This window comes from Homo sapiens, chromosome 7 (genome assembly GCF_000001405.40).
Source record: "Homo sapiens chromosome 7, GRCh38.p14 Primary Assembly".
Lineage (NCBI taxonomy): Eukaryota > Metazoa > Chordata > Mammalia > Primates > Hominidae > Homo > Homo sapiens.
Genome location: NC_000007.14, coordinates 158,326,438 through 158,344,703, shown reverse-complemented (window position 1 = coordinate 158,344,703; position 18,266 = coordinate 158,326,438). Strand labels below are relative to the sequence as shown.

The 18,266-nt window shown below is 53.5% G+C and overlaps 1 protein-coding gene across 13 annotated transcripts in view, besides 4 other annotated features; it reads left to right on the top strand.

Moving 5' to 3' along the window:
* Positions 1-18,266, top strand: part of PTPRN2 (protein tyrosine phosphatase receptor type N2) — a 1,048,768-nt gene that overhangs the window by 243,120 nt on the left and 787,382 nt on the right. The window lies entirely within an intron of this gene.
* Positions 1,598-2,797: an enhancer, noted in NCBI's record as "BRD4-independent group 4 enhancer chr7:158134599-158135798 (GRCh37/hg19 assembly coordinates)". NCBI's record gives its function as "activates an origin of replication core promoter dependent on BRD2, P300/CBP, MED14 and CDK7 cofactors, and independent of BRD4, by STARR-seq in HCT116 cells {active_cell/tissue: HCT116}" and the evidence as "EXISTENCE:reporter gene assay evidence [ECO:0000049][PMID:35650434]".
* Positions 2,820-3,319: an enhancer, noted in NCBI's record as "H3K27ac hESC enhancer chr7:158134077-158134576 (GRCh37/hg19 assembly coordinates)". NCBI's record gives its function as "activates a minimal SCP1, AML or CMV promoter by ChIP-STARR-seq in naive H9 embryonic stem cells {active_cell/tissue: H9 hESC(naive)}" and the evidence as "EXISTENCE:reporter gene assay evidence [ECO:0000049][PMID:30033119]".
* Positions 9,593-10,093: an enhancer, noted in NCBI's record as "H3K27ac hESC enhancer chr7:158127303-158127803 (GRCh37/hg19 assembly coordinates)". NCBI's record gives its function as "activates a minimal SCP1, AML or CMV promoter by ChIP-STARR-seq in naive H9 embryonic stem cells {active_cell/tissue: H9 hESC(naive)}" and the evidence as "EXISTENCE:reporter gene assay evidence [ECO:0000049][PMID:30033119]".
* Positions 15,158-15,355: a silencer, noted in NCBI's record as "fragment chr7:158122041-158122238 (GRCh37/hg19 assembly coordinates)". NCBI's record gives its function as "represses an EF-1alpha promoter that drives an FKBP-Casp9 reporter gene in an ReSE screen in K562 erythroleukemia cells {active_cell/tissue: K562}" and the evidence as "EXISTENCE:reporter gene assay evidence [ECO:0000049][PMID:32094911]".

Here is an 18,266-nt window from a genome sequence, read left to right as displayed (position 1 = left end):
TTGGGGAGAGCGACCACCTCCAGCAACACAGCCTCACTTGTTCTTTCTTGGTGGGTTACGTGTGGGACCTCTTTGATTTTTACATCTCACTCATTCTTGGGCTAGAAAAGTCTGGTTTTCCACGTTTTATGCGATTCCAGATTCCTGTGTGGCATTTCAGCCCAGACTCCAGGGTGTCTTGTATTAAATGCCGGCGAGTATAATTAGCATTCAAGACCTGGGTGCAAGGCGTTGCAAGTGTTAATTTAACAGGAAATTATGTGTCTTCAGTTTGGTCGAGGAGCTGCCTCTTCTGGAGGCCTAAACTTGAAACAGCCTCCCTTGCCTGCGACTGGGGCCAATGCTCCCCACTGGACGGAGCTCCTGATGATGGCTCAGCCCCATCCCATATTGCTTCTAGTTACTAAACTGCCTTGTTCCTGCTGAAGACAGCTCTTCCCGAGCCTGGTCTGGCTGGTGGCTTCTTGGGGCCTGTGTGGGGTTGCTGGAGCTTCCCCCGTCTGTGCTGTCCTGGGTATCTCTTGGGTGAGGCCCTGCGCTTTGCTGCTCGTTGTCACGGCTTCTAAGGGCCCAGGTGCTGGCTCCTCGGCAGGGGGACATTTTGTGTTTTTGGAAGGTGCTGGGGTCTGACACTCTCGTATGGGGGTCTGGGTGGCATGTAAGAGGGGCTGTCTTTCCCTGAATGTGAGTTTCTGGGTCTTATCTTGGGGTGTGGCAGTGTGAAGTGTATGTTCATTGGTGTGTTCACTGGTCTTCTTTGGGAGCTGAATTTAAACTCATCCTGGTGCCTGGAAATGCAGTCTAGACCCTCCATGGAAGCCTTTACCTGAGCTCGATTGTAGCTGTGATTCCACTGGGAGCAGCCGCGACAGCCCACGTGCCACGAGCATGGCTGCCTGAGCCTCTGCGCGAGCCCTGCTTGCAGGTGTTGGGTGTAAAATCAGAAAGGGGGCTGATTCCACCGGGAGCAGCCGCGACAGCCCACGTGCCACGAGCATGGCTGCCTGAGCCTCTGCGCGAGCTCTGCTTGCAGGTGTTGGGTGTAAAATCAGAAATGGGGCTGATTCCACCGGGAGCAGTCGCGACAGCCCATGTGCCACCAGCATGGCTGCCTGAGCCTCTGCGCGAGCCCTGCTTGCAGGTATTGGGTGTAAAATCAAATGGGGCTGTCGGATCATCTGCTACTTCCACATTGAACTTTTCCCGTGTGCTTTCCACGGCGACTGCATCAGGTTACGTTCCTGCCCGCGGAGCACAGGGCCCTATTTTCTCCATGTTCTCACCCACACGCGTTATTTTCGGTTTTGCTTCGTTTCGTTTTTTGATAGCAGATGTCCTGCTGAGCGGGCAGTAGGTCTCACTGTGGTTTTGATTTGCGTTGCCTTGACGCTGGTGATGCTGGGCGCCTTCCCTGTGCTTTCAGCTGTTTGTACATCTTCTCTGGAGAAAAGTCTACTCAGGTCCTTTACCCGTTTTTAATCAGGTTTTTTGTTGTTGTTGTCGAGTTGTGGTTCTTTATGTATTTTGGATACAAATCCCTTATCAGATAGATGAGGGCAAATATTTCCCCACTCCCTGGCTGCCTTTTCCTGCTGCTAATAGTGTCCTTTGATGCACAGAAGTTTTAATTTTGATGGTTACATTCTTTCTTTTTGAGATGAAGTTTCACTCTTGTTGCCCAGGCTGGAGTGCAATGGCGCAATCTCAGCTCACTGCAACGCAGAGCTGGTCATCGGCATGTGCTGGCTGAAAAGAACCCAGCACTTGTCCACCCTGCCGTTCTCCTTCGCTTTTGAAGCCCCTAAGGACTTAATATTTCCTGGATCTTGGCTCAAGTGAGCACGATGATGAGGTTTCCTGAGCTCCCGGTGGTCTGGAATGGTTGATCCTGTTTCCGTACCTCCCTCATGGGTGCTAAGTGTCAGTCAGACTTTCCTGCCGCTGCCCATTCCTCTATGGGCTCCAGCAAGGCACCCAACCTCTCTGGGCTCTAGTTTCTGAATATGGAATGGGGACCATGACAGTTTATGCCACTAAGGGTTATCATAAGGACTGACTGAGTTGACTGTGTGAGTGATGTCTGTAGATGTCAGCTCTTATGGTGAGAGTGTGGGTGTGAGCGACGTCTGCAGGTGTCAGCTCTTATGGTGAGAGTGTGGGTGTGAGTGACGTCTGCAGGTGTCAGCTCTTATGGTGAGAGTGTGGGTTTGAGTGACGTCTGCAGGTGTCAGCTCTTATGGTGAGAGTGTGGGTGTGAGTGACGTCTGCAGGTGTCAGCTCTTATGGTGAGAGTGTGGGTGTGAGTGACGTCTGCAGATGTCAGCTCTTATGGTGAGAGTGTGGGTGTGAGTGACGTCTGCAGGTGTCAGCTCTTATGGTGAGAGTGTGGGTGTGAGTGACGTCTGCGGGTGTCAGCTCTATGGTGAGAGTGTGGGTGTGAGTGACGTCTGCGGGCGTCAGCTCTTATGGTGAGAGTGTGAGTGTGAGTGACGTGTGTGGGTGTGAGTGACGTCTGTGGGCGTCGGCTCTTATGGTGAGAGTGTGGGTGTGAGTGACCTCTGCGGGCGACAGCTCTTATGGTGAGAGTGTGGGTGTGAGTGACGTCTGCAGGTGACACCCCTTCTGGTGAGAGTGTGGATGTGAGTAACGTCTGCGGGTGTCAGCTCTTATGGTGAGAGTGTGGGTGTGAGTGACGTCTGCAGGTGTCACCTCTTATGGTGAGAGTGTGGGTGTGAGTGACGTCTGCGGGCGACAGCTCTTATGGTGAGAATGTGGGTGTGAGTGACGTCTGCAGGTGTCAGCTCATATGGTGAGTGTGGGTGTGAGTGACGCCTGCGGGGCACACTCTTATGGTGAGAGTGTGGGTGTGAGTGACGTCTGCTGGTGTCACCTCTTACGGTGAGAGTGTGGGTGTGAGTGACGTCTGCAGGTGTCAGCTCTTATGGTGAGAGTGTCGGTGTGAGTGACGTCTGCGGGCGTCAGCTCTATGGTGAGAGTGTGGGTGTGAGTGACCTCTGCGGGCGACAGCTCTTATGGTGAGAGTGTGGGTGTGAGTGACGTCTGCATGTGTTACCTCTTATGGTGAGAGTGTGGGTGTGAGTGATGTCTGCGGGTGTCACCTCTTATGGTGAGAGTGTGGGTGTGAGTGACGTCTGCAGATGTCACCTCTTATGGTGAGAGTGTGGGTGTGAGTGACGTCTGCACGTGTCACCAATTATGGTGAGAGTGTGGGTGTGAATGACGTCTGAAGGTGTTACCTCTTATGGTGAGAGTGTGGGTGTGAGTGACCTCTGCGGGCGACAGCTCTTATGGTGAGAGTGTGGGTGTGAGTGACGTCTGCATGTGTTACCTCTTATGGTGAGAGTGTGGGTGTGAGTGACGTGTGTGGGTGTGAGTGACGTCTATGGGCGTCGGCTCTTATGGTGAGAGTGTGGGTGTGAATGACGTCTGCAGGTGTCACCAATTATGGTGAGAGTGTGGGTGTGAATGACGTCTGCAGGTGTTACCTCTTATGGTGAGAGTGTGGGTGTGAGTGACGTCTGCGGGCGTCAGCTCTTATGGTGAGACTGTGGGTGTGAGTGACGTGTGGGTGTGAGTGACGTCTGCAGGTGTCACCAATTATGGTGAGAGTGTGGGTGTGAATGACGTCTGCAGGTGTCACCTCATGGTGAGTGTGGGTGTGAGTGACGTCTGCAGGTTTCACCTCTTATGGTGAGAGTGTGGGTGTGAGTGACATCTGCGGGCGTCAGCTCTTATGGTGAGAGTGTGAGTGTGATTGACGTGTGTGGGTGTGACTGACTTCGGGTGTCAGCTCTTATGGTGAGAGTGTGGGTGTGAGTGACGTCTGCATGTGTCAGCTCTTATGGTGAGAGTGTGGGTGTGAGTGACATGTGTGGGTGTGAGTGACGTCTGCAGGTGTCACCAATTATGGTGAGAGTGTGGGTGTGTGTGACGTCTGCATGTGTCACCTCTTATGGTGAGTGTGGGTGTGAGTGACGTCTGCAGGTTTCACCTCTTATGGTGAGAGTGTGGGTGTGAGTGACGTCTGCGGGCGTCAGCTCTTATGGCTAGAGTGTGAGTGTGAGTGACGTGTGTGGGTGTGAGTGATGTCTGCGGGCGTCGGCTCTTATGGTGAGATTGTGGGTGTGAGTGACCTCTGCGGGCGACAGCTCTTATGGTGAGAATGTGGGTGTGAGTGACGTCTGCAGGTGTCACCTATTATGGTGAGAGTGTGGATGTGAGTGACGTCTGCGGGTGTCAGCTCTTACGGTGAGAGTGTGTGTGTGAGTGACGTCTGCGGGTGTCAGCTCTTATGGTGAGAGTATGGGTGTGAGTGACCTCTGTGGGCCTCAGCTCTTATGGTGACAGTGTGGGTGTGAGTGATGTCTGTGGGTGTCAGCTCCTATGGTGAGAATGTGGGTGTGAGTGATGTCTGTAGGTGTCACCTCTTATAGTGAGAGTGTGGGTGTGAGTGACGTGTGCCGGCATCAGCTCTTATGGTGAGAGTGTGGGTGTGAGTGACGTCTGCGAGTGTCAGGTCTTATGGTGAGAGTGTGGGTGTGAGTGACGTCTCCAGGTGTCACCTCTTATGGTGCGAGTGTGGGTGTGAGTGACGTCTGCAGGTGTCACCTCTTATGGTGACAGTGTGGGTGTGAGTGACGTCTGCATATGTCACCTCTTATAGTGAGAGTGTGGGTGTGAGTGACTTCTGCGGGCGACAGCTCTTATGGGGAGAGTGTGGGTGTGAGTCACGTCTGCGGGCGACAGCTCTTATGGTGAGAGTGTGGGTGTGAGTGACGTCTGCAGGTGTCACCTCTTATGGTGAGACTGTGGGTGTGAGTGATGTCTGCAGGTGTCACTTCTTATGGTGAGAGTGTGGGTGTGAGTGACATTTGCAGGTGTCACTTCTTATGGTGAGAGTGTGGGTGTGAGTGACGTCTGCAGGTGTCAGCTCTTATGGTGAGAGTGTGGGTGTGAGTGACGTCTGCAGGTGTCACCTCTTATGGTGAGACTGTGGGTGTGAGTGATGTCTGCAGGTGTCACTTCTTATGGTGAGAGTGTGGGTGTGAGTGACGTTTGCAGGTGTCACTTCTTATGGTGAGAGTGTGGGCGTGAGTGACGTTTGCATGTGTCACCTCTTATGGTGAGAAGTGTGTACGTGAGTGACGTCTGCAGGCATCAGCTTTTATGGTGAGAGTATGGGTGTGAGTGTCCTCTGTGGGCCTCAGCTCTTATCGTGAGAGTGTGGGTGTAAGTGACATCTGCAGGTGTCAACTCTTATGGTGAGAGTGTGGGTGTGAGTGACGTCTGCAGGCATCAGCTCTTATGGTGACAGCGTGGGTGTGAGTGACATCTGCATGTGTCACCTCTTATGGTTGAGAGTGTGGGTGTGAGTGACGTATGCAGGTGTCAGCTCTTATGGTGAGAGTATGGGTGTGAGTGACATCTGCAGGTGTCACCTCTTATGGTGCGAGTGTGGGTGTGAGTGACGTCTGCAGGTGTCACCTCTTATGGTGACAGTGTGGGTGTGAGTGACGTCTGCATATGTCACCTCTTATAGTGAGAGTGTGGGTGTGAGTGACTTCTGCGGGCGACAGCTCTTATGGGGAGAGTGTGGGTGTGAGTCACGTCTGCGGGCGACAGCTCTTATGGTGAGAGTGTGGGTGTGAGTGACGTCTGCAGGTGTCACCTCTTATGGTGAGACTGTGGGTGTGAGTGATGTCTGCAGGTGTCAGTTCTTATGGTGAGAGTGTGGGTGTGAGTGACATTTGCAGGTGTCACTTCTTATGGTGAGAGTGTGGGTGTGAGTGACGTCTGCAGGTGTCAGCTCTTATGGTGAGAGTGTGGGTGTGAGTGACGTCTGCAGGTGTCACCTCTTATGGTGAGACTGTGGGTGTGAGTGATGTCTGCAGGTGTCACTTCTTATGGTGAGAGTGTGGGTGTGAGTGACGTTTGCAGGTGTCACTTCTTATGGTGAGAATGTGGGTGTGAGTGACGTTTGCATGTGTCACCTCTTATGGTGAGAACTGTGTACGTGAGTGACGTCTGCAGGCATCAGCTTTTATGGTGAGAGTATGGGTGTGAGTGTCCTCTGTGGGCCTCAGCTCTTATGGTGAGAGTGTGGGTGTGAGTGACGTCTGCAGGTGTCACCTCTTATGGTGAGAGTGTGGGTGTGAGTGACGTCTGCAGGCATCAGCTCTTATGGTGACAGTGTGGGTGTGAGTGACATCTGCATGTGTCACCTCTTATGGTCAGAGTGTGGGTGTGAGTGTCCTCTGTGGGCCTCAGCTCTTATGGTGAGAGTGTGGGTGTGAGTGACGTCTGCAGGTGTCACCTCTTATGGTGAGAGTGTGGATGTGAGTGACGTCTGCGGGTGTCAGCTCTTATGGTGACAGTGTGGGTGTGAGTGACGTCAGCAGGTGTCAGCGCTTATGGTGAGAGTGTGGGTGTGAGTGACGCCTCCGGACGACAGCTATTATGGTGAGAGTGTGGGTGTGAGTGACGTCTGCAGGTGTCACCTCTTATGGTGAGAGTGTGGGTGTGAGTAACGTCTGCGGGCGTCAGCTCTATGGTGAGAGTGTGGGTGTGAGTGATGTCTGCGGGCATCACCTCTTATGGTGAGAGTGTGGGTGTGACGTCTGCAGGTGTCACCTCTTATGGTGAGAGTGTGGGTGTGAGTGACGTCTGCAGGTGTCACCAATTATGGTGAGAGTGTGGGTGTGAGTGACGTCTGCGGGCGTCAGCTCTTATGGTGAGAGTGTGGGTGTGAGTGACCTCTGCGGGCGAGACTCATTATGGTGAGAGTGTGGGTGTGAGTGACGTCTGCAGGTGTCACACTCTTATGGTGAGAGTGTGAGTGTGAGTGACGTGTGTGGGTGTGAGTGACGTCTATGGGCGTCACCTCTTATGGTGAGAGTGTGGGTGTGAGTGACGTTTGCAGGTGTCACCTCTTATGGTGAGAGTGTGGTTGTGAGTGACGTCTGCGGGCGTCAGCTCTTATGGTGAGAGTGTGGGTGTGAGTGACGTCTGCAGGTGTCACCAATTATGGTGAGAGTGTGGGTGTGAATGACGTCTGCAGGTGTCTCCTCTTATGGTGAGAGTGTGGGTGTGAGTGACGTCTGCAGGTGTCACCAATTATGGTGAGAGTGTGGGTGTGAATGACGTCTGCAGGTGTCACCTCTTATGGTGAGAGTGTGGGTGCGAGTGACGTCTGCAGGTGTCACCTCTTATGGTGAGAGTGTGGGTTTGAGTGACGTCTGTGGGTGTCACCTCTTATGGTGAGAGTGTGGGTGTGAGGGACGTCTGCAGGTGTTACCTCTTATGGTGAGAGTGTGGGTGTGAGGGACGTCTGCAGGTGTCACCTCTTAGGGTGACAGTGTGGGTGTGAATGATGTCTGTGCGTGACAGCTCTTATGGTGAGAGTGTGAGTTTGAGTGACGTCTGCAGGTGTCAGCTCTTATGGTGAGAATGTGGGTGTTAGTGACGTCTGCAAGTGTCACCTCTTATGGTGAGAGTGTCGGTGTGAGTGACGTCTGCAGGTGTCACCTCTTATGGTGAGAGTATGGCTGTAAGTGACCTCTGTGGGCCTCAGCTCTTATGGTGAGAGTGTGGGTGTGAGTGACGTCTGCGGGTGTCAGCTCTTATGGTGACAGTGTGGGTGTGAGTGATGTCTGTGGGTGACAGCTCTTATGGTGAGAGTGTGGGTGTGAGTGACGTCTGCGGGCATCAGCTCTTATGGTGAGAGTGTGAGTGTGAGTGACGAGTGTGGGTGTGAGTGACGTCTGCGGGCGTCGGATCTTATGGTGAGAGTGTGGGTGTGAGTGACCTGTGCGGGCGACAGCTCTTATGGTGAGAGTGTGGGTGAGTGACGTCTGCAGGTGTCACTTCTTATGGTGAGAGTGTGGATGTGAGTGACGTCTGCAGGTGTCACCTCTTATGGTGAGACTGTGGGTGTGAGTGACGTCTGCGGGCGTCAGCTCTTTTGGTGAGAGTGTGGGTGTGAGTGACGTCTGCGGGCGTCAGCTCTTATGGTGAGAGTGTGGGTGTGAGTGACGTGTGGGTGTGAGTGACGTCTGCATGTGTCACCAATTATGGTGAGAGTGTGGGTGTGAATGACGTCTGCAGGTGTCAACTCTTATGGTGAGTGTGGGTGTGAGTGACGTCGGCAGGTTTCACCTCTTATGGTGAGAGTGTGGGTGTGAGTGACATCTGCGGGCGTCAGCTCTTATGGTGAGAGTGTGGGTGTGAGTGACATGTGTGGGTGTGAGTGACGTCTGCAGGTGTCACCAATTATTGTGAGAGTGTGGGTGTGAGTGACGTCTGCATGTGTCAGCTCTTATGGTGAGAGTGTGGGTGTGAGTGACGTCTGCAGGTGTCACCTCTTATGGTGAGAGTGTGGGTGTGAGTGACGTCTGCGGGCGTCAGCTCTTATGGCTAGAGTGTGAGTGCGAGTGACGTGTGTGGGTGTGAGTGATGTCTGCGGGCGTCGGCTCTTATGGTGAGATTGTGGGTGTGAGTGACCTCTGCGGGCGACAGCTCTTATGGTGAGAATGTGGGTGTGAGTGACGTCTGCACGTGTCACCTCTTATGGTGAGACTGTGGGTGTGAGTGATGTCTGCAGTTGTCACTTCTTATGGTGAGAGTGTGGGTGTGAGTGACATTTGCAGGTGTCACTTCTTATGGTGAGAGTGTGGGTGTGAGTGACGTCTGCAGGTGTCACCTCTTATGGTGAGACTGTGGGTGTGAGTGATGTCTGCAGGTGTCACTTCTTATGGTGATAGTGTGGGTGTGAGTGACATTTGCAGGTGTCACTTATGGTGAGAGTGTGGGTGTGAGTGACGTCTGCAGGTGTCAGCTCTTATGGTGAGAGTGTGGGTGTGAGTGACGTCTGCAGGTGTCACCTCTTATGGTGAGACTGTGGGTGTGAGTGATGTCTGCAGGTTTCACTTCTTATGGTGAGAGTGTGGGTGTGAGTGACGTTTGCAGGTGTCACTTCTTATGGTGAGAGTGTGGGTGTGAGTGACGTTTGCATGTGTCACCTCTTATGGTGAGAAGTGTGTACGTGAGTGACGTCTGCAGGCATCAGCTTTTATGGTGAGAGTATGGGTGTGAGTGTCCTCTGTGGGCCTCAGCTCTTATGGTGAGAGTGTGGGTGTGAGTGACATCTGCAGGTGTCAACTCTTATGGTGAGAGTGTGGGTGTGAGTGACGTCTGCAGGCATCAGCTCTTATGGTGACAGCGTGGGTGTGAGTGACATCTGCATGTGTCACCTCTTATGGTTGAGAGTGTGGGTGTGAGTGACGTCTGCAGGTGTCAGCTCTTATGGTGAGAGTATGGGTGTGAGTGATATCTGCAGGTGTCACCTCTTATGGTGAGAGTATGGGTGTGAGTGTCCTCTGTGGGCCTCAGCTCTTATGGTGACAGTGTGGGTGTGAGTGACGTCTGCAGGTGTCACCTCTTATGGTGAGAGTGTGGGTGTGAGTGACGTCTGCAGGCATCAGCTCTTATGGTGACAGTGTGGGTGTGAGTGACATCTGCATGTGTCACCTCTTATGGTCAGAGTGTGGGTGTGAGTGTCCTCTGTGGGCCTCAGCTCTTATGGTGAGAGTGTGGGTGTGAGTGACGTCTGCAGGTGTCACCTCTTATGGTGAGAGTGTGGATGTGAGTGACGTCTGCGGGTGTCAGCTCTTATGGTGACAGTGTGGGTGTGAGTGACGTCAGCAGGTGTCAGCGCTTATGGTGAGAGTGTGGGTGTGAGTGACGCCTCCGGACGACAGCGCTTATGGTGAGAGTGTGGGTGTGAGTGACGCCTCCGGACGACAGCTATTATGGTGAGAGTGTGGGTGTGAGTGACGTCTGCAGGTGTCACCTCTTATGGTGAGAGTGTGGGTGTGAGTAACGTCTGCGGGCGTCAGCTCTATGGTGAGAGTGTGGGTGTGAGTGATGTCTGCGGGCGTCACCTCTTATGGTGAGAGTGTGGGTGTGACGTCTGCAGGTGTCACCTCTTATGGTGAGAGTGTGGGTGTGAGTGACGTCTGCAGGTGTCACCAATTATGGTGAGAGTGTGGGTGTGAGTGACGTCTGCGGGCGTCGGCTCTTATGGTGAGAGTGTGGGTGTGAGTGACCTCTGTGGGCGAGAGCTCTTATGGTGAGAGTGTGGGTGTGAGTGACGTCTGCAGGTGTCACCTCTTATGGTGAGAGTGTGGGTGTGAGTGACGTGTGTGGGTGTGAGTGACGTCTATGGGCGTCACCTCTTATGGTGAGAGTGTGGGTGTGAGTGACGTCTGCAGGTTTCACCTCTTATGGTGAGAGTGTGGGTGTGAGTGACATCTGCGGGCGTCAGCTCTTATGGTGAGAGTGTGGGTGTGAGTGACGTGTGGGTGTGAGTGACGTCTGCAGGTGTCAGCTCTTATGGTGAGAGTGTGGGTGTGAGTGACGTCTGCATGTGTCAGCTCTTATGGTGAGAGTGTGGGTGTGAGTGACATGTGTGGGTGTGAGTTCCGTCTGCAGGTGTCACCAATTATGGTGAGAGTGTGGGTGTGTGTGACGTCTGCATGTGTCACCTCTTATGGTGAGAGTGTGGGTGTGAGTGACGTCTGCAGGTGTCACCTCTTATGGTGAGAGTGTGGGTGTGAGTGACGTCTGCGGGCGTCAGCTCTTATGGCTAGAGTGTGAGTGTGAGTGACGCGTGTGTGTGTGAGTGATGTCTGCGGGTGTCGGCTCTTATGGTGAGATTGTGGGTGTGAGTGACCTCTGCGGGCGACAGCTCTTATGGTGAGAGTGTGGGTGTGAGTGACGTCTGCGGGTGTCAGCTCTTATGGTGAGAGTGTGGGTGTGAGTGACGTCTGCGGGTGTCAGCTCTATGGTGAGAGTGTGGGTGTGAGTGACCTCTGTGGGCCTCAGCTCTTATGGTGAGAGTGTGTGTGTGAGTGATGTCTGCGGGTGTCAGCTCTTATGGTGAGAGTATGTGTGTGAGTGACCTCTGTGGGCCTCAGCTCTTATGGTGACAGTGTGGGTGTGAGTGATGTCTGTGGGTGTCAGCTCTTATGGTGAGAATGTGGGTGTGAGTGATGTCTGTAGGTGTCACCTCTTATAGTGAGAGTGTGGGTGTGTGTGACGTGTGCCGGCATCAGCTCTTATGGTGAGAGTGTGGGTGTGAGTGACGTCTGCGAGTGTCAGGTCTTATGGTGAGAGTGTGGGTGTGAGTGACGTCTCCAGGTGTCACCTCTTATGGAGAGAGTGTGGGTGTGAGAGACGTCTGCAGGTGTCACCTCTTATGGTGACAGTGTGGGTGTGAGTGACGTCTGCAGGTGTCACCTCTTATGGTGCGAGTGTGGGTGTGAGTGACGTCTGCAGGTGTCACCTCTTATGGTGACAGTGTGGGTGTGAGTGACGTCTGCAGATGTCACCTCTTATGGTGAGAGTGTGGGTGTGAGTGACTCCTGCGGGCGACAGCTCTTTTGGGGAGAGTGTGGGTGTGAGTCACGTCTGCGGGCGACAGCTCTTATGGTGAGAGTGTGGGTTTGAGTGACGTCTGCAGGTGTCACCTCTTATGGTGAGACTGTGGGTGTGAGTGATGTCTGCAGGTGTCACTTCTTATGGTGAGAGCGTGGGTGTGAGTGACATTTGCAGGTGTCACTTCTTATGGTGAGAGTGTGGGTGTGAGTGACGTCTGCAGGTTTCAGCTCTTATGGTGAGAGTGTGGGTGTGAGTGACGTCTGCAGGTGTCACCTCTTATGGTGAGACTGTGGGTGTGAGTGATGTCTGCAGGTGTCACTTCTTATGGTGAGAGTGTGGGTGTGAGTGACGTTTGCAGGTGTCACTTCTTATGGTGAGAGTGTGGGTGTGAGTGACGTTTGCATGTGTCACCTCTTATGGTGAGAAGTGTGTACGTGAGTGACGTCTGCAGGCATCAGCTCTTATGGTGAGAGTATGGGTGTGAGTGTCCTCTGTGGGCCTCAGCTCTTATGGTGAGAGTGTGGGTGTAAGTGACATCTGCAGGTGTCAACTCTTATGGTTAGAGTGTGGGTGTGAGTGATGTCTGCAGGCATCAGCTCTTATGGTGACAGTGTGGGTGTGAGTGACATCTGCAGGTGTCACTTCTTATGGTGAGAGTGTGGGTGTGAGTGACGTCTGCAGGTGTCACCTCTTATGGTGAGAGTATGGATGTGAGTGACCTCTTTGTGCCTCAGCTCTTATGGTGAGAGTGTGGGTGTGAGTGCCGTCTGTAGATGTCACCTCTTATGGTGAGAGTGTGGGTGTGAGTGACGTCTGCAGGTGTCAGCTCTTATGTTGAGAGTATGGGTGTGAGTGACATCTGCAGGTGTCACCTCTTATGGTGAGAGTGTGGGTGTGAGTGTCCTCTGTGGGCCTCAGCTCTTATGGTGAGAGTGTGGGTGTGAGTGACGTCTGCAGATGTCACCTCTTATCGTGAGAGTGTGGGTGTCAGTGACGTCTGCGGGTGTCAGCTCTTATGGACAGAGTGTGGATGTGAGTGATGTCTGCAGGTGTCACATCTTATGGTGAGAGTGTGGATGTGAGTGACATCTGCAGGTGTCGGCTCTTATGGTGGGAGTATGGGTGTGAGTGACCTCTGTGGGCCTCAGCTCTTATGGTGAGAGTGTGGGTGTGAGTGTCGTCTGCAGATGTCACCTCTTATCGTTAGAGTGTGGGTGTCAGTGACGTTTGCGGTTGTCAGCTCTTATGGAGAGAGTGTGGATGTGAGTGACGTCTTCAGTTGTCAGCTCTTATCGTGGGAGTGTGAGTGTGAGTGACATCTGCGGGCGTCAGCTCTTATGGTGAGAGTGTGGGTGTGAGTGACGTCTGCGGGTGTCAGCTCTTATGGTGAGAATCTGGTTGTTAGTGTCGTCTGCGGGTGTCACCTCTTAGGGTGACAGTGTGGGTGTGAGTGATGTCTGTGCGTGACAGCTCTTATGGTGAGAGTGTGAGTTTGAGTGACGTCTGCAGGTGTCAGCTCTTATGGTGAGAATGTGGGTGTTAGTGACGTCTGCAAGTGTCACCTCTTATGGTGAGAGTGTCGGCGTGAGTGACGTCTGCAGGTGTCACCTCTTATGGTGAGAGTATGGCTGTAAGTGACCTCTGTGGTCCTCAGCTCTTATGGTGAGAGTGTGGGTGTGAGTGACGTCTGCGGGTGTCAGCTCTTATGGTGACAGTGTGGGTGTGAGTGATGTCTGTGGGTGACAGCTCGTATGGTGAGAGTGTGGGTGTGAGTGACGTCTGCGGGTGTCAGCTCTTATGGTGAGAGTATGGGTGTGAGTGACCTCTGTGGGCCTCAGCTCTTATGGTGAGAGTGTGGGTGTGAGTGACTTCTGCGGGTGTCAGCTCTTATGGTGAGAGTATGGGTGTGAGTGACCTCTGTGGGCCTCAGCTCTTATGGTGAGAGTGTGGGTGTGAGTGACGTCTGCGGGTGTCAGCTCTTATGGTGAGAGTGTGGGTGTGAGTGACGTCTGCGGGCGTCAGCTCTTATGGTGAGAGTGTGGGTGTGAGTGACGTCTGCGTGTGACAGCTCTTCTGGTGAGAGTGTGGGTGTGAGTGACGTCTGCGGGCGTCAGCTCTTATGGTGAGAGTGTGGGTGTGAGTGACGTCTGCGGGCATCAGCTCTTATGGTGAGAGTGTGGGTGTGAGTGACGTCTGCAGGTGTCACCTCTTATGGTGAGAGTGTGGATGTGAGTGACGTCTGCGGGTGTCAGCTCTTATGGTGAGAGTGTGGGTGTGAGTGTCGTCTGCGTGTGACAGCTCTTATCGTGAGAGTGTGGGTGTGAGTGACGTCTGCAGGTGTCAGCTCTTATGGTGAGAGTTTGGGTGTGAATGACGTCTGCGGGCATCAGCTCTTATGGTGAGAATGTGGATGTGAGTGACGTCTGCGGGTGTCAGCTCTTATGGTGAGAGTGTGGGTGTGAGTGACGTCTGCGGGTGTCAGCTCTTATGGTGAGAGTGTGGGTGTGAGTGACGTCTGCACGTGTCGGCTCTTATGGTGAGAGTATGGATGTGAGTGACCTCTTTGTGCCTCAGCTCTTATTGTGAGAGTGTGGGTGTGAGTGACGTCTGCAGATGTCACCTCTTATGGTGAGAGTGTGGGTGTGAGTGACGTCTGCAGATGTCACCTCTTAGGGTGAGAGTGTGGGTGTGAGTGACGTCTGCGGGTGTCAGCTCTTATGGTGAGAGTGTGGGTGTGAGTGACGTCTGCAGATGTCACCTCTTAGGGTGAGAGTGTGGGTGTGAGTGACGTCTGCGGGTGTCAGCTCTTATGGTGAGAGTGTTGGTGTGAGTGACGTCTGCAGGTGTCAGCTCTTATGGTGAGAGTGTGGGTGTGAGTGACGTCTGCAGATGTCACCTCAGGGTGAGAGTGTGGGTGTGAGTGACGTCTGCGGGTGTCAGCTCTTATGGTGAGAGTGTGGGTGTGAGTGACGTCTGCGGGTGTCAGCTCTTATGGTGAGAGTGTGGGTGTGAGTGACGTCTGCAGGTGTCAGCTCTTATGGTGAGAGTGTGGGTGTGAGTGACGTCTGCGGGTGTCACCTCTTAGGGTGAGAGTGTGGGTGTGAGTGACGTCTGCGGGTGTCAGCTCTTATGGTGAGAGTGTGGGTGTGAGTGACGTCTGCAGGTGTCAGCTCTTATGGTGAGAGTGTGGGTGTGAGTGACGTCTGCAGATGTCACCTCTTATGGTGAGAGTGTGGGTGTGAGTGTCGTCTGCGGGCGTGAGCTCTTATGGTGAGAGTCGCCATACAAGACCTGAGGATTTTGTGAGTTGGTTGCAGAATAGGACACTCTGCCAGTCACTCCATGTAGCTATGGTGACCGCATTTTCTCAGTCAGACGCTGGCATCTACAGTCTAAAGTGAAAGTGAGTCTCCGTAGAGGACACAGCCTCGAGCGGTGAAGTGGGACCATGTGGACAGATCTTGGGTTGCGACTCCCAGGCCAACTCTGAGCAAGTTCCTTAACCTCCCTGTGCCTTAATTTCCACATGGCGTCAATGGGATAATAATACGCAGTGTCTTAGTCCATGAAGGCTGCTCAAAGTACCACCTATTGCGGGGCTTAGAAACAGCAGACATTGATTTCTCAGTTCTGAAGGCTGGAAGCCAAGGTCACCGCCCTGGCAGGGTTGACGTCTGGTGTCTGGCGAGTCCCCTCCTGGCTCATCGACGGTGCCTCCTCACGTGTCCTCATGTGGCTGGAGCGTGAGCCGTCCTTGGGGCCTGTGTAAGGAAGGCCCCACCTCCTCGCCTCTCAGCCGTCCGCCTGCTAACAGCAGCACCCGGGGCTGGTTTCGGCACACAGCCTGTTGCATGGAGGAGGAGCCTCATGGGCTTGGGGTGGGGGTTTAAGGCATCCTTAAAGGTAAAAGGCTGGGAAGTGCTGGGCGCGCTGGTGCTCCGTGAGGGAGGCATGACTGGCTGTGTTCTCGGCACTGTCTTCACTGTCCTCCCCTCCTAGCCTGCTCCTCACCTCCCAGAAGGGCCTCCCACCCGCCACGCTTCCCCCTGCCCCGCCTGGCCGGTGTCTGCTGGGCTCCTCAGTACTGCCGGCTCACACCCTCAAGCTGTGGCTTCTGTCGTGCGCCTCCCTCGGTGCAGTGGGCTGTGCGCCGCTGGATTTGCCATCCCAGGCCTCACTGGGATCCCTGGGTGGCGGGAGGAATGGAGGCCCCACTCATAGTGACTTGCAGATGTCACTCACACCCACAATCTCATCATAAGACCTGATGCTTGCAGACATCACTCACACTCACAAGGGAAGCTGGCCTCTCCTGGATTTACCGTCCCAGGCCTCACTGGGATCCCTGGGTGGCGAGAGGAACAGAGGTCCCGCTTGTCGCTCAGGGAAGCTGGGATCTCCTGGATTTACTGTCCCAGGCCTCCCTGGGATCCCTGGGTGGCGGGGGGGGGGGAATGGAGGCCCCGCTCCTAGTGACTTGCAGATGTCACTGACACCCACACTCTCACCATAAGACCTGACACCTGCAGACGTCACTCACACTCACAAGGGAAGCTGGCCTCTCCTGGATATACCATCCCAGGCCTCACTGGGATCTGGGTGGTGGGAGGAATGGGGGCCCTGCTCCTCACACAAGGGAAGCTGGCCTCTCCGGACAGTGAGGCTCCCGCTGTGGGTGCAGGTGCTGCCCGGACGTGGGGCTCCTCCCCAGTCAGAGCCTCACGCTGCTCTGCAGATGCATAGGCTGTGCTGGCCGCTCCCAGGCACTGTCACTCTGTCCCCTGCCTTCTGCTGCCTGTCAGTGGCTGCTCTGAACTGTAACGAAATCCTTGAAAATAAAGGAATTTCCAGCGATATAGGGTCTCGGCTTATCTTCAGGTTTCATTACGAACTAAGCTGCTCAGACTTCACAGCAGTCCTGCCTTGGACGCAGCCCACGGATCCAACGGCTCCTTAAATCTGACCTGGGTGTGTGGTGAGCCAGTGCCTGCTTCCTTGGGCCTCAGAAGCCATTGCTGTCTCTCAGGATTCACCTTTGGCCTCCTGGAATTTTTGCAGCAGTTATGACTGGATGCCATGACAGCAGTTTCTACTCCCTGAGAATGGGAGCACTTTTACAGCTTCCTTGCAGAATGGGAGCACTTTTACAGCTTCCTTGCAGAAATGTGCATGGCAGGTGCTTGATCAGTTCAGATAAAGGGCTTTTTCTCCCTCTGGAGAATTCCTTTCAACAGGGCAGTGATTCTGAGCTGTAATTACTTTTCCCTCCTCCAAAAATAGCTGGGGAGATTTTTTTCTTGTTGCTGCACCCCTGGGGACCCTGATGGAGCAGTGGGCTCCTCCGTCTGTGGTGCTGCTTTGAGAAGCCCCATGGGACCGAGGGAACCCTGGCAACGCTGCCAGCTCCCTGCAGGGAGGGGACTTCAGAGGCAGCTCCAGTGTCCCAGGGCACCGGGATTTACAGATTGAAGGTACTTTGGCAAGGCAGCCTCCACCAGGAGGGGGCAGTGGGAGAGAGGCAGGGTCCTGAGGGACCCCAGCAGGGGAGGCAGGAAAGAATGAAAGGGTGACCTAGCCTGGTACAGCAGGACACCTGGAGCATGGCGGTCCCAGGCTGGTGAGGGCTCCTTCTGCTATTCTGAGTGTGAGTAGTGAGTGTGTACATGAGAACATGTACATGTGTGAGCATGTGAGAACAGATAGTGTGTACATGTGCATGTGTGTGAGAATGTTCATGTGTGTGAGAACTTGTGCATGTGAGAATGTATGTGTGAGAACGTGTACATGTGTGAGCAGGTGTGTGCATGTGAGAATGTGTGTGAGAACGTGTACATGTGTGAGCATGTGTGAGCATGTGTGTGCATGTGATAATGTGTGTGTGACAATGTGTACATGTGTGAGCATGTGTGAGCACGTGTGTGCATGTGAGAATGTGTATGTGTGAGAATGTGTACATGTGTGAGCATGTGTGAGCACGTGTGTGCATGTGAGAATGTGTGCATGTATGTGGATATGAGAATGTTTACGTGTGTGTTTGAGAATGTGTGCATGTGTGAGAATGTGAGCATGTGTGTGTGCATGTGAGAATGTGTGCACGTGTGTGGATATGAGTGTGTATGTGTGTGCTTGTGTGAGAATGTGCATGGGTGAGAATGAGTGCATGTGAGAATGTGTGCATGTATGTGCAGATGAGAATGTGTACATGTGCATGTGTGAGAATGTGTATATATGTGAGAATGCATGTGTGTGCATCTGAGAATGTGTATGTGCATGTGAATGTGTGCGTGTGTGCATGTGTGAAAATGTGTATGTGTGCATGTGAGAACGTGTGAGCATGTGCATGTGTGAGAATGTGTGCATGTGTGAGAACGTGTGCATGCGAGAATGAGCATGTGTGTGAGAATGCATGTGAGAGCATGTGTGAGGATGTGTGCATGTGTGAGAATGTGCATGTGTGTGCATGTGAGTGTGTGAGCATGTGTGAAACGTGCATGTGAGAATGTGCATGTGTGTGAGAATGTATGCATGTGAGAGCATGTGTGAGGATGTGTGCATGTGTGAGACTGTGCATGTGTGTGCATGTGAGAGTGTGAGCATGTGTGAAAACGTGTGCATGTGAGAATGTGCATGTGTGTGAGAACGTGTGCCTGTGAGAGCATGTGTGAGGACGTGTATGTGAGAATGTGCATGCATTATGTGGTTGTGTGTCTGCATATGTGCATGTGTCTGCATACATTGTGTGTGCATGCTGTGAATGTCTGTGTATGTGGTTGCTTGTGTATTGTGCACACGTGTACAAGTGTGCATTA